The sequence below is a fragment of the Homo sapiens genome, chromosome 3 (assembly GCF_000001405.40).
Source record: "Homo sapiens chromosome 3, GRCh38.p14 Primary Assembly".
Classification (NCBI taxonomy): Eukaryota; Metazoa; Chordata; class Mammalia; order Primates; family Hominidae; genus Homo; species Homo sapiens.
Window position 1 is genome coordinate 167,177,395 of NC_000003.12, and position 15,754 is coordinate 167,193,148.

At 37.8% G+C, this 15,754-nt stretch overlaps 1 protein-coding gene across 2 annotated transcripts in view; it reads right to left on the reverse strand.

Annotated features, from left to right (window-relative positions):
* Positions 1-1,007: 1,007 nt before the first annotated feature.
* The window catches only part of ZBBX (zinc finger B-box domain containing), a 229,485-nt gene continuing 214,738 nt past the window's right edge, over positions 1,008-15,754 (reverse strand). The window contains exons 23-24 of one of the 2 annotated variants that reach the window (XR_924174.3): positions 5,916-6,069; positions 1,008-1,258 (exon numbers count right to left, since the gene is read on the reverse strand). The gene's annotated coding sequence lies outside the window, so the exon portion shown is untranslated. Of the gene's footprint in view, positions 1,259-5,815; positions 6,070-15,754 lie in introns of those variants that run through there. The other variant, XM_024453753.2, reaches the window with a different exon arrangement.

A 15,754-nucleotide genomic window follows, 5' to 3' on the forward strand; every position in this document is an offset into this window, starting at 1 on the left:
AGATTAATAGCCAACCATCATAGAAATCATAAAGGCTCCAAGTGTTTTTATCCATTTTAATGGGTTGATAGCTGCTAATCCATCTGCAGCTCCTTCAAGCACTCCAGTTCCTGGCATTAAGGTCAGGTGTCCCTGGGATACTTTAAATATTTGTTCTTTTAATTTTGCAAAATCCAAAGACAACTTTGTAGAGTGTCCTTCTAGATACTTTTTTATTATTTCCCAAATTTTGATCTTATAGTTTCCACAAATCCTTATGTTTAGCTCCTAGAGTGGGCCATATCATTTGAGGATGAGGTGCCACTACACCGCCATGTTTCCAGATAATAGGAACTCTTGCCATACTTCTTACCGTTTCTACCATCTGACCATTTTGTTCAGACCAGCTGAACATAGTGTGGCCATGGCACGCAGAAAGAGAGGTTCAATTCAAGCTAAACATCCCCTTAGAGGACCAATCAATAACGATTCCATAGGAATCATTGTGCAGCACCTCTGCCTGTTCTGCAATGCAATCTTCTCAAACAAGTACGTTCATTTATTCTGACCAGGTCCAATCCTGTTTACAAATAGGTTTTTGAGGGCGGTATGTCTCAATTATAGGAGGAGATTCATTATGGTAAATACTGAGACCAGAAAGCACATGCAACTGTGTCATAAAGTGATTACATCCAAGCATTATTGCCAGGCAAGATTGATAGCAAGGGGGTAGGCAACTAGAGGCCTTTCCCAAACAGATAGGCGGATGTTCATACCCTAAAGAAATATTCATAACAGTTCCTTCCTCATGTGGGTGAGATGGGCCTCTATCATCTGTAGGACCTAGCATCCAAGAGCTATCATTAGTGTATACCTCCACTGGGGTGTCTAGCCAAGTTACAAGCCGTAGAAGTGGTGTAAAAGGTAAATATGCCCAATAAGTATAATTATTCTCTGTGTCAGCCCTTGCTAAAGGAATACTCTTGGCAATGGTGATCACCGCTATCATAGCTATCATTAAATTACTCACTGTGACTGGTTGTCCTGCTTTCCTCAGGTTTTCTTCCGCCATCTGTGACAGCTTCGTGATCTGTCCACAGGTAGGTGGCTGTGTTCGACGGGTGTTGCTCGTGACAGTTGGGGTCCTCCTCAGCATCAGTCTTGACATGGCTGCAACTGGGGGATCCTCAGGTTCCTCCCAGAATCTCTTCTTCGGCATCTGGCTCATGATAAGGATTCAGATGTCTCAACGGCACCCAAATTGGCTGCTGATAAGGTCCTGGAGAAACACAAGCATAACCTCTACCCCAAGTTATTATTTTACCTGCTTCCCAACTTTTTGTTATCGGATCTCTCCACCAAACCAGTTGTTCTGCTTCTTTCTTTGCATCTGGTTTCTGTAGATGCTGTTCAGCTGCTGATAGCATCTGGCCTTTAGTCAGGCTCAAAAAATTTAAAGTCAATAATGCTAGATTCAATCGCATATGTGGTGTGCCTTAGTCCCTGTCTCCCCGCTTTTGCTTTTGCAACTGCTGCTCCAGGGAGAGATTCATTCTTTCCACTATGGCTTGTCCTTGAGAATTATATGGGATATCAGTAATGTGTTTAATATTCCATATAGAGAAAAACATAGAGAGAGCTTGGCTAGTATAGCCTGGGGCATTGTCCATTTTAAGAGAAGCTGGAATGCCCATCACCGAGAAACACTGCAAAAGGTGACATTTAACACAGGCAGAAGACTCTCATGATTGGCATGTAGCCCAGACAAAGTGAGAAAAGGTGTCCACACATACATGTACATAAACTAGTCTCCCAAATGAGGGAACATGGGTGACACCCATTTGCCAAAGAGAATTAGGTTCCAATCCTTGAGGATTAACTCCTCCTCTAAAAGATGAGGAATGCACCATTTGGCAAGTTGGGCATTGCTGGATAATAGCTTCAGCTTCTTTTCAGGTAATGCTGTATTTGCGTTTGAGACCAGAGGCATTAGCATGGGCTAAATTGTCAAAGTGTCTGGCATTAGATATTGCAGTAGCAACTAGGCCATCAGCCATTTGATTCCCTGCAGTCAAAGGTCCTGGAAGAGGGGTATGAGCCCTAATGTGAGTGATGTAAAAAGGGTGCATTCTATTCCTAACTGCTGTTTGCAATTGGGTAAATAAAGTCATCAGTTGTTCATCTGTATGAAATCATAACTGAGTATTTTCAATTAATTGTGTGAAATGAACCACATATGAAGAATCAGAAATCACATTAATAGGCATATCAAAAGCAGTCAATACCTCAATTACAGCTACAAGCTCCGCTTTTTGAGCTGAAGTATAGGGCATCTGGAAAACTTTACCTTTTGAGCCAGAATAAGAAGTTTTACCATTACTAGACCCATCTGTGAAGACATTTTCAGCACCTTCAATTGGTTTAAATTTAGTTATTTTAGGGAGAATCCAATTAGTTAATTTCAAAAACTGAAACAGTTTCATTTTAGGAAATGGTTATCGAGAATACCCACAAAGTCAAATAAATGGGTTTGCCAAGTAAGACTATTTATAAAGGCTTGCGGTATTTTTGCCTTCGTGAGGACAATAGTTTTTCCAGGATCACATCCATGTAATTTAACAATCCAAGTTTTCCCATTTCCTATCATAGTAGCAATTTGATCCAAATAAGAAGTCAAAGTCTGTGAATTAGTATGTGGAAGAAAAAGCCACTCTACAAGATCTTGCTCTCGAACAACAACACCAGTAGGTGAATGCTGGGTTGAAAAAAAGAGCAAATCTAGAGTCTTCTCTGGATCTATTCTATTTATTTGAGCATTATGCACTTGTTTCTCAATTAGCTGTAACTCTGCCTCAGCCTCCTTTGTTAATTGCTGAGGGCTAGTGAGACTAGGATCTCCTCTAAGGATAGAAAACAGACTACTCATGGCATAAGTAGGAATGCCTAGAGCAGGTCGTATCCAATTGATGTCCCATAGTAATTTTTGAAAGTCATTTAATGTTTTCAATTGATCCCTACGAATGGTTACTTTCTGTGGCACCATTGTAGTGTCATTTACTAACATTCCTAAGTAGGAGTAAGGAGTAGTAGTCTGAATTTTGTCAGGAGCTATAATTAAACCAGTGTGAAAAATCAAATTTTGCAAGTGATCATAACATTGGAATAATATTTCTTGAGTGGGGGCAGCACAAAGTATATCCTCCATATAATGAATAACATAACACTGTGAAAATTTTTTATGGGTAGATTCAACTGCTTGCCCTATATAAGTCTGGCAAATTGTTGAACTGTTTAACTTGCCTTGTGGCAACACTTTCCAATGAAAATGCTTAGCAGGCTGCAGGTTGTTTACCGCAGGAATTGTAAACGCAAACTGTTCACAGTCTTGTTCAGCTAAGGGGATAGTAAAGAAACAGTCTTTTAAATCTATGACTATTAAAGGCCAATTTTTTGGAATCATAGCAGGAGAAGCCAATCCTGGCTGTAATGCCCCCATGGGTTGTATAACTGAATTAATGGCTCTAAGATCTGTCAACATTCCCCATTTACCTGATTTTTTTCTTAATAACAAAGACTGGAGAATTCCAGGGGGAATATGTTGGAACTATGTGTCCTTTTTCTAATTGTTCAGTAAATAAGTCCTCTAAAGCCTCCAGTTTCTCTTAAGTTAGTGGCTATTGTTCTATCCAAATTGGCTTATCTGTTAACCATTTTAAAGGTATAGGTTCTGGAGGCTTAACAACTGCCGCCATCAAAAATGATACCCTAAACCTTGGCAGGAACTTTGTCTTTCCACTTGAAGCGGTTCCTTCAAACCTTGCAAATTTTTTCCTAGTCTCATACCAAGGACATACCCCATTTCATCAATCATATGTTGACTTTGAGGGCTGTATAATTGCTCTGGAATTAGAACTTGTGCTCTCCATTGTTGTAATAAATCTCTCCCCCATAAATTTATAGGTACAGAAGCTACAATTGGTTGAATGGTCCCAGGTTGTCCATCAGGCCCTTCACAATACAAAATATAACTACTTTAATATACTTCAGGGGCTTTACTAACTCCAACTATGTTAAATTGAGCAGGTTGAATTGACCATGCGGAAGGCCAATGATGTAGAGAAATGATTGAAATGTTCACTCCTGTATCTAACAAACTTTTACATTTCTTTCCCTGAATAGTTGTTTCACAGGCAGGATGTTTTTCAATAATTTGATTCACCCAATAAGCTGCTTTGCCTTATTTGTGCTTCCAAATCCTCCTGTTCGTTTAATTTCACTTTTCCCCATTTCCACATACAACACAATCAGGAGCTGTGCTATACACTCTCCTGGCTCTGCTTTCCAGGGAACAGAAGTAGATATAACAACTTGAATTTCCCCATTGTAATCTGAATCAATAACTCCTGTATGTACTTGCACTCCTTTTAAATTTAAACTAGACCTACCTAGAAGTAATCCTACTGTCCCCGCTGGCAAGGGTCTATAGACTCCTGTTGGCACTTTTTGTAGGGGTTCCCCAGGCAGAAGGCTAACATCTTTTGTGCAGCATAAATCTACTGTGGCACTACCAGCTGTGGTGGGGGGCAGGCCTGGGACGGGCCCCTCATGGTGTTTCCCGAAATTGGGGTCCCATCTTTATTAAACTTAGAGTGACACTGATTAGCCCAGTGTTTTCCTTTCTTGCATTTTGGACATATTCCAGACTCAGCAGTTTTCTTTTTCCCCCCAACTGGCAGCCTGACTCGCTGATTTTTTTTACAGTCTTTTTTAGTGTGACCATGCTTCCCACAGTTAAAACAAGCTCCAGGAAATGGAGTATATCCTCTACCCACTTTCAGTCCTGCTATGGCTTGTGCCAACAAAGTAGCATTATGCAGATTACCTCCAATACCATCACAGGCCTTGATATAATCAACTAAATGCACTTTCCCCCTAATAGGTGGCAGAGCAACCTGGCACTTGGGATTAGCATTGTCAAAAGCTAGTAACCGCAACACTATATCCCGAGCAGCCAAATCTGCAATCACCTTTTTAAGAGACTCCTATATCTGAGCTGTAAAATCTGCATACGGTTCTTTTGGTCCCTGCTTTACAGCACTAAAGGAAGGGTATTGCTCTCCTCCTGAAGCGATTTTTTCCTAAGCTCTAATGCACACTCCTCTAAGCTCTTCTATGGCATCATCCTGCATGACCACTTTTGCATCTAAACCAGCCCAGTCACCAACCCCCAAAAGTTGGTCTGCAGTTATATTAATTTGAGGTTGGGCCTGGGCATTGCAAGCAGCCTGAATGGAAGCTTCATCTGCCCACCAAGTTTTAAATTTTAATAACTGAGCAGGAGTCAGGCAAGCTTGAGTAAGAGTGTCCCAGTCAATAGGAATCATCTGACTGCAAACAGCAATATTCTTTAACAGTCCCATTACAAAAGGACTGTTGGTCCATATTGATTAATAGCTTGTTTAAATTCTTTGAGTAATTTAAAAGGAAAAGGCTCAAATGTAGCTATATTATTTCCCTGTTGATCTGGGGGGTGTATCCTAACAGGGAACTGCTATGCCTCTATATCACCCTCTCATCTAGCTTGCTGAATTCCTGCCCGAATAGAATTGAGAGTGGTCGCTCTAGGCGCTGCCCAAACAGTCACTGGGGCCGCTATTTTTCAGCCAGTGTTCTCTGGAAAAGAAAGATCTGGAGGGTTAGCCACTCTTTTTCTTCAAAATAATGACAGAGTGCAGAAGGGTAGGGACAAACCTCTCCCTCCTTTGCCACTTTAGCTTTAGCTGGCAAACAAACCTGCTCTGTCACCTCTTCTGTTACTTCGTTATACTCTCCTTCCTCCTCATCATCAGTGTGAAAAGGTTCCAAGGTGGAACCAACCAGAGCCCACACTTGTCCCACTATTACCCTGATGTTTCCAAGCTCCCCTTCTTACTCACCACAGGGATTGCTTAAGAGTACTCGGGTGTCCTCCAGCATAGTTCCACGTTCTCCAACCATTGCTCCGGCGACCCTTTGACCCGGGTTCAAGCCCCATGTATGGGCACCACTTGCCAAGACCAGCTCGATCAGGGAGACCCTAACCCAGCGGCGCTAGAGGAATTAAAGACACACACACAGAAATATAGAGTGCGGAGTGGGAATCAGGGGGCTGACAGCCTTCAGAGCTGAGAGCCACAAACAGAGTTTTACCCACATATTTATCGACAGGAAGCCGCCAGTGATAAGCATTGTTCCTGTAGATTATAATTTAACTAAAATGGGAAACTAAGGGATGGGCTCTGGCTAGTAATCCGCCACAGGAACATGTCCGTAAGGCACAGATCACTCATGCTATTGTTTGTGGTTCAGGAACACCTTAAGCAGTTTTCTGCCCTGGGTGGGCCAGGTGTTCCTTGCCCTCATTCTGGTAAACCAACAACCTTCAGGATGGGCATCATAGCCATCATGAGCATGTCACAGTGCTGCAGAGATTATTTTTTATGGCCAGATTTGGGGACCTGTTTATGGCCAGATTTAGGGGCCTGTTCCCAACAAAAAAGGAAAAGTCTGAGGAATCATGAGAACTGATTCTTAGACTTATTTTTAATCTACAGTAAAGACAATTCTGTGTTGTAAAAAGGATACATCTATAGACTAATGAAAATGAATGATGAGTTCAGAAATAGACCATTTTTCTTGCAATTCTATGTTTAATTGATTATCAATAAACACGTGAAGAAATTCAGTGAAAGGGATTGTCTTTTCAACAAATGGTACTAAAAACAAATTGAATACCCATAGGAGAAACATAAATAACTTTCATTTATGCATATGTAAAAAGAAAATAAAATTTCAGAATTTTTCAAATTCATTATGCCAAGAGAAAAAGTTAAGCCTTGAAAACTGATTCACATAACATGGCTGTTTTCCTTTGGTGCATGCCTGTTGCTTCTTGACCTTTGTGTTGAGATGTTATGCACTATCCAGGCTCCCTATTCTTTATTCAAACCTAGGCCAAATGATAGAGATAGTTGGCCAGGCTGGTGTCGAACTCCTTCAAGTGATCGCCCAAGCCACCCCGCTTGGCCTTGGCAGTTCTTTATAATACTAAATATGCCCTCATCATATGACCCAGAAATCTTACTCCCTGGTATCTACCCAAGTGAAATGAAAACTTATTTTCACATAAAAACCTATATATAATGGATGGGCTCAAGGAATAGTCAACAGGAAACCGGTTACATTAAGCAGCCAGGTCCAGGAGTCCTCATAATTCCAACAGGCCTGAGATCCATCTCTGCTACCCAGAGACACCCAGTGTCCTAGCCTGGGAATGTCCTTCCACCTCCGAAAGCAGTACCAGCAGGAACCAGTGGGAGCCGCAGTGGCAACAGGTAAACCAAGCAGAACAAAGTAACCAGGCAATTTAAATTTGGTAATACAGCCCATAAAAGTAGGCCAGAATGTGCATGCTACACCTAAACAGGCTGAGTGCCTGCCAAAATAAAGAATTTATATAAGAACCCAAATTATTGTCAGTATCATCAACATTATTGTCAACAATACTGTTTGTGGTATTATACTGTAGCTTCATAAAATGTTACAATTAGGGGACACTAGGTAAATTGTACACATGATCTCTCTGTATTATTTCTTACAAATGCATGTGAATCTAAATTTATCTCAATTAAAATGGAAAACAAATACCCTATACATTAATGTATATATAGAGACTTGGTTTGTAATTGTTCCAAACTGGAGCAAACCTAAACGTTTCTCCACTGTAGAATGGATTAAAATAATGTGGTACATCTATACAATGAAAAACCAATTAGCAATAAAAAGAAAAAAATACTAATACATGCAACAGCATTTTAAAATCTCAAATCTATTATGCTGAGTGAAAGAAGCCAGACCCAAGAAGCTATGTATATAATTCCAGTTATATAACATCCTTTCGGAAGTAAAACTATAGGTCAATAAAAACCAAAGCTGAGGATGGGGACAGTGGTTGATTATTAGAGGTACAGTAAAATTTGGTGGAATAGGAATGGAACTTTTGTGATATTTCATTCTATATTTTGATTGTGGTTCCAGTTACATACATTTATACTTTTTCAACACTTTTATAATTACAAAATAAAAATCGTGGATTTTTCTATATAAATTTTACCTTAAATAAAATGAAAATAGAAAAGAGGTTATATTATTTTGCTTGCTGAATACTTAAGTCCTATTATTATCACAAAAAGTAGATTATCTTTCAGCTTTTTGATAGCACATAAAAACATTGAAACTGCAGTTCTAGCATTCTTTAATATCATTCACAACCTTGCCATTCCAGAATGTTACATTTTTTCATTTTTCCATGTACGGCCTATATATGTTGTAATTCTATGACTGAATTCAACACATACTGCTTTTCCACCTACAAGTAAGTATTTTTAATAGAAACATATTCATAATGACCATTTTCCATATGTACATTAATCTAGGTAGTTAAGATATAATTGACTTAGCCTTTCCTCATTGGTGGACATTTGGGCTATATTAATTTTATTAGCATTATAAAGAAGACTCCATTGAATATCTTTATACACAGCCAAATTTTCTTTTTTTCCTCTTGGGGTAAATTTCAATATGCAGCATTATAGCAAAGGAGATAAATACTTTATTTTCCTTCATAAATACTATTCATGTTTTTCCAGAAAGATTTTTGCTTATGTTTCTGCTCACAATTGAAGCTTTAACAATTTTATTATATCTTATACTTACTGGTAGATAAAAATGGTATATATAATATTTTTAATTAATATATGAGTAATAGAGTATTTTGTTTTAATTTCCATTTTTCTTGCATATTACTGATTACTTTATTTCAAAAGGGGGCTTCCAATTTTATATCCATTTGAAGCATGGTCTATCCATGCCCTTTGTACATAGACAACTAAATAAAATGAAACTAGGGACCAAGAGTTGTTCATAAGCAGCTAACATACTGGCTGCCATAGTGCTATGTACTCAAATATTTGTAGGAAGGAAGGAAGGAAGGAAGGAAAGGAAGAGAGGGAAGAAGGGATGGAAAAAGCTAATTTCTCATTGGAAAAGCAGTTATAAACAAGGAGTAATAATTTTAAGAGGCAGATCTGAAAGAAGGCTTTCTGAGATAATGCTTAACTTTTGCCCTTCTTATTTCATTTTGGATCCCCTTGGTTTTACTCCCAAGGTACCTGCAACTACATTGCTTAATTCCTTTGCTTCAGAAGGACATTACAAAGAGAAGCACAGATTCAAAATAAATGACAGACCTCAGTAAATTTACATTATAACAGTCAAATATATACATAAAGGGTTTCTGCAACCAACAAAATCAATAAAATGAGCAGAGAAGTTTAAGCTGAAGATTTAAAAAGAAATACTCATGTTAAAATATATTGCTGATACAGATAGAGGAATGAAGTCACATTGAATAGGTCGCCATAGTCACAAAGCTTCCATAGCTTGTCATATTTTGCTGATTTTTGTTGCAGGTATTAAAATGTGTGTCATATTTTTCTCATTTTAAATTTTACCTATTCATCTTTAAAATGTACTTTTATTTCCAAGGTGAGGATGAAGCATCACCTGCAATAGGAATACTATATTTCTATACAGGAAAAAGTGACAACCCTGAAGTATTTGGCTTTGGGGGCTTTGACCATTTATTTTGCAGAGTAAAAAATTCTAAAATAGGGAAGGTTTGCTACCGTAGACCCAAGCTGATGAGCTTTATTTTGTTCGGTTTTGTTTAATTTCCCCTCTCCTATCATTATAATATATAAGATACCAGCCTTATTAAAATGAAGAATTCTTGTTTGCCAAGTGAAACGGCAAAAGTAACAAGTACTTATCTAGCAGAATAGTGGTAATAGTGAGAAATCCATCTTTGACAAGGAGTAGCAAAATCACAGATTGGTGGTTCTACGTGAGAATTTTACTATGCAAAATCTTCTCCCTTCACCCTACCCCAGAAAGAGTAGCTCATGGGATATTGGTAGCCCATCTGGAGTGCTCAGAGCCAATTCTGCTAATGCCAGATAATAGCGTGTGCATCAGAGCAAAGCTGGAATAATCCTGGCAAGTAGAGAAGTGGTAATTTGTGACTGACATTGAAGGTTTTCAGAGGATCTAGAATCAAACAACATATTTCTTTTTACTAGGAGTGACAGCACCTTCCATTGTCACACTAAATTCCCTTGTGCTATAGCTTAGTAAAATGAAAGCAAACATTATTTGGAACATTAGCTGTAAGTCATGCAACATTCGGCAGCTCCAATTAGCATTTGAATAATAAATTGAAATGAGCCCAACAAATATGTCTGAAGCAGACTACTCGTGGAAAATATATACTTAAGTATATTACTATCCAAGGTGGCAAGGGGTACAAAATGAATGTTGGAGTTGGACATAACACTGCCCACCTTTTCATTAATCAATATTTATGAAAACTTACATATGGTTTACGATGTTCATTTCCTGAACTGAATCACACAACAGGAACTTACCAGATAAAACAGTTAATATTTGCAATGCATTCTACTGTTATAATAATTGGTAGAATGGCTTAAACTAGCAAACCCTGGAATCCTAGGAATTTCCAGAATTACGTATTTTCCAAAGTCTACATTAAAGACAAACAGGAAAATTTGGGATTGTAAGAAAGAAATCACAATAGAGAAAAAATCTTACTCAGATTAAAGGCAATGTAATTAAACTCCATGGGATCAGTGGAATTACCATAAAAACAATTATTTGGAAGGAAAACATGGGGAAAGAAACCAGGCAATTTTTTAACATAGTATTGGTGTTCAGGGAAGATTTTGTTTATACATTCATTCATACTTTCAATTATCAAAACATTCATTGAGTATCTACTGCTTCTGACCTTTTAGTAAAATCTTCAGATAAAAAAAGATAGATATAAAATATGTATTTTTAAAGAATCTCACCAATCAGTGGGAGAAGATGACACTTAGACAGATTGTGTAAAACGATGTGAAAATTCTGTAATGGAATTATGTACAAGGGAAACATTTATAACGCTTTAAGAGGGGCACTAAAATTTTCTGATAGGCTATGATGTCTAAAATAAATCTTAAAGGATAAATAAATATTATAAATTTGATCAGTTTGTGATCAGCATAAGAAAAAAATCTACAATGTAATTTAAAATATTTATCACCATGTTACTGAGAGTGAGACACACATCTAATATTTATGATAAGAGGTGTTAAGACCACAAACAAACTTATTTCCTTTTCCTTTTGCTGACTTCAAGACCTGATAACTTTTATTTGTCATTTATCTACATAATAACTTTCCTTTATTCATTTACTGCCAGTTGCTTTAGTTAAAACACCTGAATAAGCAAGTCTGATTCTTGACCTTGTCCTAGGTGAGAGTGTCCCAGATAAACAAACCTGTGGTGGAAAAGGTAAAGGGTGTAGGTTTCTTCTGATCTGGCATATTACAACAAAGCTGGGGCTTTTTGGCAAAAAGCCTTAAAAGAAGTTATTGAGGAAACCCTGAGATTTAAAAAGACACAGTAAGAATCTTCTGGACAAAAGCTACAGGTGATTTTCATACTTTACCTATCTTATGAAGGTGAATTGTTGCATTTTGGGATTGAGAGATGTATAGACATGGGAGTGAACTTGGAAAATTCCTACAATTTGGGAGTTCATAAAATATTTGAGAATGCCTCTTTCTCAGAATTAAGTTTGGTCTAGAGTATCATCTGAAATGCAAATTATGTTAAATTGCCAAAAATTTAACATAACAGGACAAAGTACCTGTCCGCTATATCCTCAGATTACATGACTCTAGAAGACTGAAAGTCATACAAAGCCTTCAGATATTGGAGGAGAAAATATATCCCTGTTATCTGAACAAAATATACCCACTTTTAGAAAATTTCTCTTCATATTGGCATCTGGAGACTCTTTCTTACACTCACCCCAGTTAATATGAAAATATGTGCCTTCCAAGTTGTGACGGATGTCTGCAAGCCCAGAACAAGTGTGTGGTGCTTCTCAGAAGTTTCAAAAATAATTCTGAAGTATGCTTAAGTGAATGCTAGACATGCACACACTCATGTGTACACAAACACACACATACACACACATCCACACACACCAGATTCCCATAAATTCCACATCCCAGAGTAATAACTATCAATAGTTAAGTACAATTCTTTTTCAGAATATTGTCTACTTCATACAGACGTATACATTTTTAAAATAGACTTTCATTTTAGAACAGATTTATGTTCACAGCAAAATTTAGAGGAACATACAGACTTCCCATATAACCCCATCCCAAGGGAATAGCCTATGCCACAATCAACATCCCACACCAGAGTGATACATTTATTATGAGCTGTGAAACTGCACTGATATATTATTATCACCCAAAATTCATAGTTTACATTATGTTCACTCTTAATGCTCTACATTCAATGGGTTTTTGGATAAATATATAATGACAATTCCACCATTGCAGCAGACAGACAATTTGAACAGATTTTTCATATTTTACTTAGTTATTTGAAACCTCCTTTTTCACTAAACAGCTTTCTGTCAGGGTCCAGGTAGAGCTACCTTACTTTTTCATAATGTCATAGAATCACATGGACACATGTATTTTAGTTAGAAATATGTTATTGATAGACATTTAGTTTTCTATTTTCCTTTTTATCACAAACAAGGCTGAAATTACATCCTTTTTCATAAATATTGTCATGTCTTGTATATGCATATGTTTTGGACATTATATGCATAATGTCTAGATAGTATAGAGGGAAAGATCATTGTCTTCAGAATCATAAAAAAAGTTTTGTTCAACTACAGTTACATCATTTGCAATTTTAAAAACTTTGACAAAGTGAAACCATAATTTCATCATCAATAAAATAATCTCTATGGAATTGTTAAGATGAAATAATATAAAATACATAACATTTCTCTTAGGAACTAAAACTTACCTACTTTTTTTTTTTTTTTTTTTTTGAGACGGAGTCTCTCTCTGTCGCCCAGGCTGGAGTGCAGTGGCGCAATCTCGGCTCACTGCAAGCTCCGCCTCCCGGGTTCATGCCATTCTCCCGCCTCATTCTCCCGACTAGCTGGGACTACAGGTCCCTGCCACCACGCCCGGCTAATTTTTTGTATTTTTAGTAGAGTCAGGGTTTCACTGTGTTAGCCAGGATGGTCTCGATCTCCCGACCTCGTGATCTGCCCACCTCGGCCTCCCAAAGTGCTGGGATTACAGGCGTGAGCCACCGCGTCCGGCCCATGTTTTTATCACTAGAGATTTTGTGTGGTCATGAGATTATCAACTTGGTCAGCTGTTATCACTCCTCTGATGCAGGACCATTCACTGAAATTCACACCAAAATGAGTTGAGGTGGGGGCACAGAGTGCTGACAAGAGGATGCCAGTGAGCTGAACAGACTTTGAGGTGAACTTAGGAATATCTTGGCGCAAAAAGACTACCAGGGCTCCTAAGCCAGGTACAGGAATTAGGGTCTATGCTTATCTTCACTAAGGCATGGCTCAGTCCTGGCCTGAAAGCTTTAGGACAGCTCCCAGCATTGTCCTGGAGGCAGTGAACACCAAGGGGAATATAGACCCTGCTGGTTCCATCCTGAAAGGGCAAGAGACTTGCAGAGACCTACCAACCTTTCTCTGTTTCAACCAAGTTACTAAAGTAGAAACCTCATTCTAGAGATCTAGGAGCATCCACTGTAAAAGTAAGAATTGGGGAAATCCCAAACAGGTTTTGTCACATCCAGTCTCTAAAGAATCAAGAGAAACAATCTGTCTCTGCTGACCAGGGCACAGGCAATGTGTGTGGCTAACTGTGGAGGCAACAGCAAATTTATAAATTAAGAGCCTCCATGAGCTTTGCCATTCTGGATGGAATCATCTTTCTCCATTGCCACATTTCTGGATCTTCCACCATCTCAGGAATTGATATTCTTTTCTCTGATACGGTTTGGCTGTGTCCCCACCCAAATCTCATCTTGAATTGTAACTCCCACAATTCCCACATGTTGTGGGAGGAACCCAGTGGGAGGTGATTAAATTATGAGAATGTTTGTTTCTGGTTCTGTTCTCCTGTTCTCCTGAGAGTGAATGAATCTCACGAGATCTGATGGTTTTAAAAATGGGAGTTTCTCTGCACAAGCTCTGTCTTTGCCTGCCCCCATCCACGTAAGATGTGACTTGCTCTTCCTTGGCTTCCACCATGAGTGTGAAGCCTCCCCAGCCACGTGGAACTGTGAGTCCAATTAAACCTCTTTCTTCTGCCCAGTCTCTGGTATGTCTTTATCAGCAGTGTGAAAACAGACTAATACAGAAGTATTAGTAGGGGATCTTGTGATCTTGTTGTGAAGGCCCTCATTTTTCTCTCCTCAAGAGTGATTTTCTCTAGTAGTACGCTTTACTTGTTCCTTTTCATTTTAGTGAATGTTTTTGCAATGTGGTTATCATGAAGCTTACAAAAATCATATATATATATATATATATATATATATATATATATATAGAGCAAGTTATTTTAATCAAATGTCAGCTTATCTTAGATAACAAAAAAAACCTCTTCATTTTATCTCAATCTCCCCATAGTTAGGTTTTATCTTTTATCAACTTACATATTTTTATATTGCTTGTCTCTTGACAGGTTACTGTAGGTATTATTGTTTTTGATAGTTTTATATTTTGGGCTTCATACTTTTAGTTATGAGTGGATTGCACATATTTATAGTACTAGAATGTTCTGAGTTTGTCTGTGTAACTTAATTTTCCCAGTGGGTTTTATACTTTCAAATGTTTTATTTTCACATTGTTTATTTGTTTTCACATTGTTATTTACTTCTTTCAGATTGAAGAGTCGCCTTTAGCATTTCTTGTAAGATATCTGGTGGTAGTAAATTCTCTCAACTTTTGTTTGTCTAGGAAAGACTTTATTTCTCTTTTTCATGTTTCAGTGAGACCTTTGCTGGGTATAGTATTCTTGAATAAAAAGGATTTTCCTCTTTCAGGACTTTGAAAACATCATTCTAATCCCTCCTGGCCTGTATAGTTTCTGTTGAAAAGTCTGTATGAATTTGAGCTTCTTTATATGTTATTTGCTTGTTTGCTCTTGTTGCTTTCAGGATGTTCTCTTTAATCGTATCCCTTTCTCTTGCTCAGCTCCTTTTTGAACACCAATAATTCTTAGATTTGCATTTTTGAGGTCATTTTCTCTATCTTATAGGTAATATTCACTCCTTTTCATTCTTTTTTCCCTGACTATGCATTTTCAAATAGCCTGTTTTCAAGCTCACTGATTCTTTTCTCTGCCTGATCTTTTCTGCTGTTAAGAGCCTCTATCAAATTTTTTAGTTCAGCAAATGTATTTCTCAGCTTTAAGATTTTTCTTTGATTTTTAAAATTATTTTAATCTCTTCATTACATTTCTTTGGAAAATGTTTGAATTACTTTTCTGTGTTATCTCAGAGATCACAGAGTTTACTTTAAACTGCTATTTTAGATTCTTGGTCAGATAATTCACATGTCACCATTTTTTCAGAGTCACTCACTGGTTCCTTGCTCTGACCCTTTGAGGAGGTCATGGTTTCCTGCTTGCTGTTCGTTTTTGTGGGTGTACACCTATGTCTTTGCATTGAAGTATTTATTATTTATTCCAGTCTTCTCTGCCTGGCTTGTTTTGGCTTTTGTTGTCTAGGTTGGCTCAGAGATTCTCTGTAATTTACCTG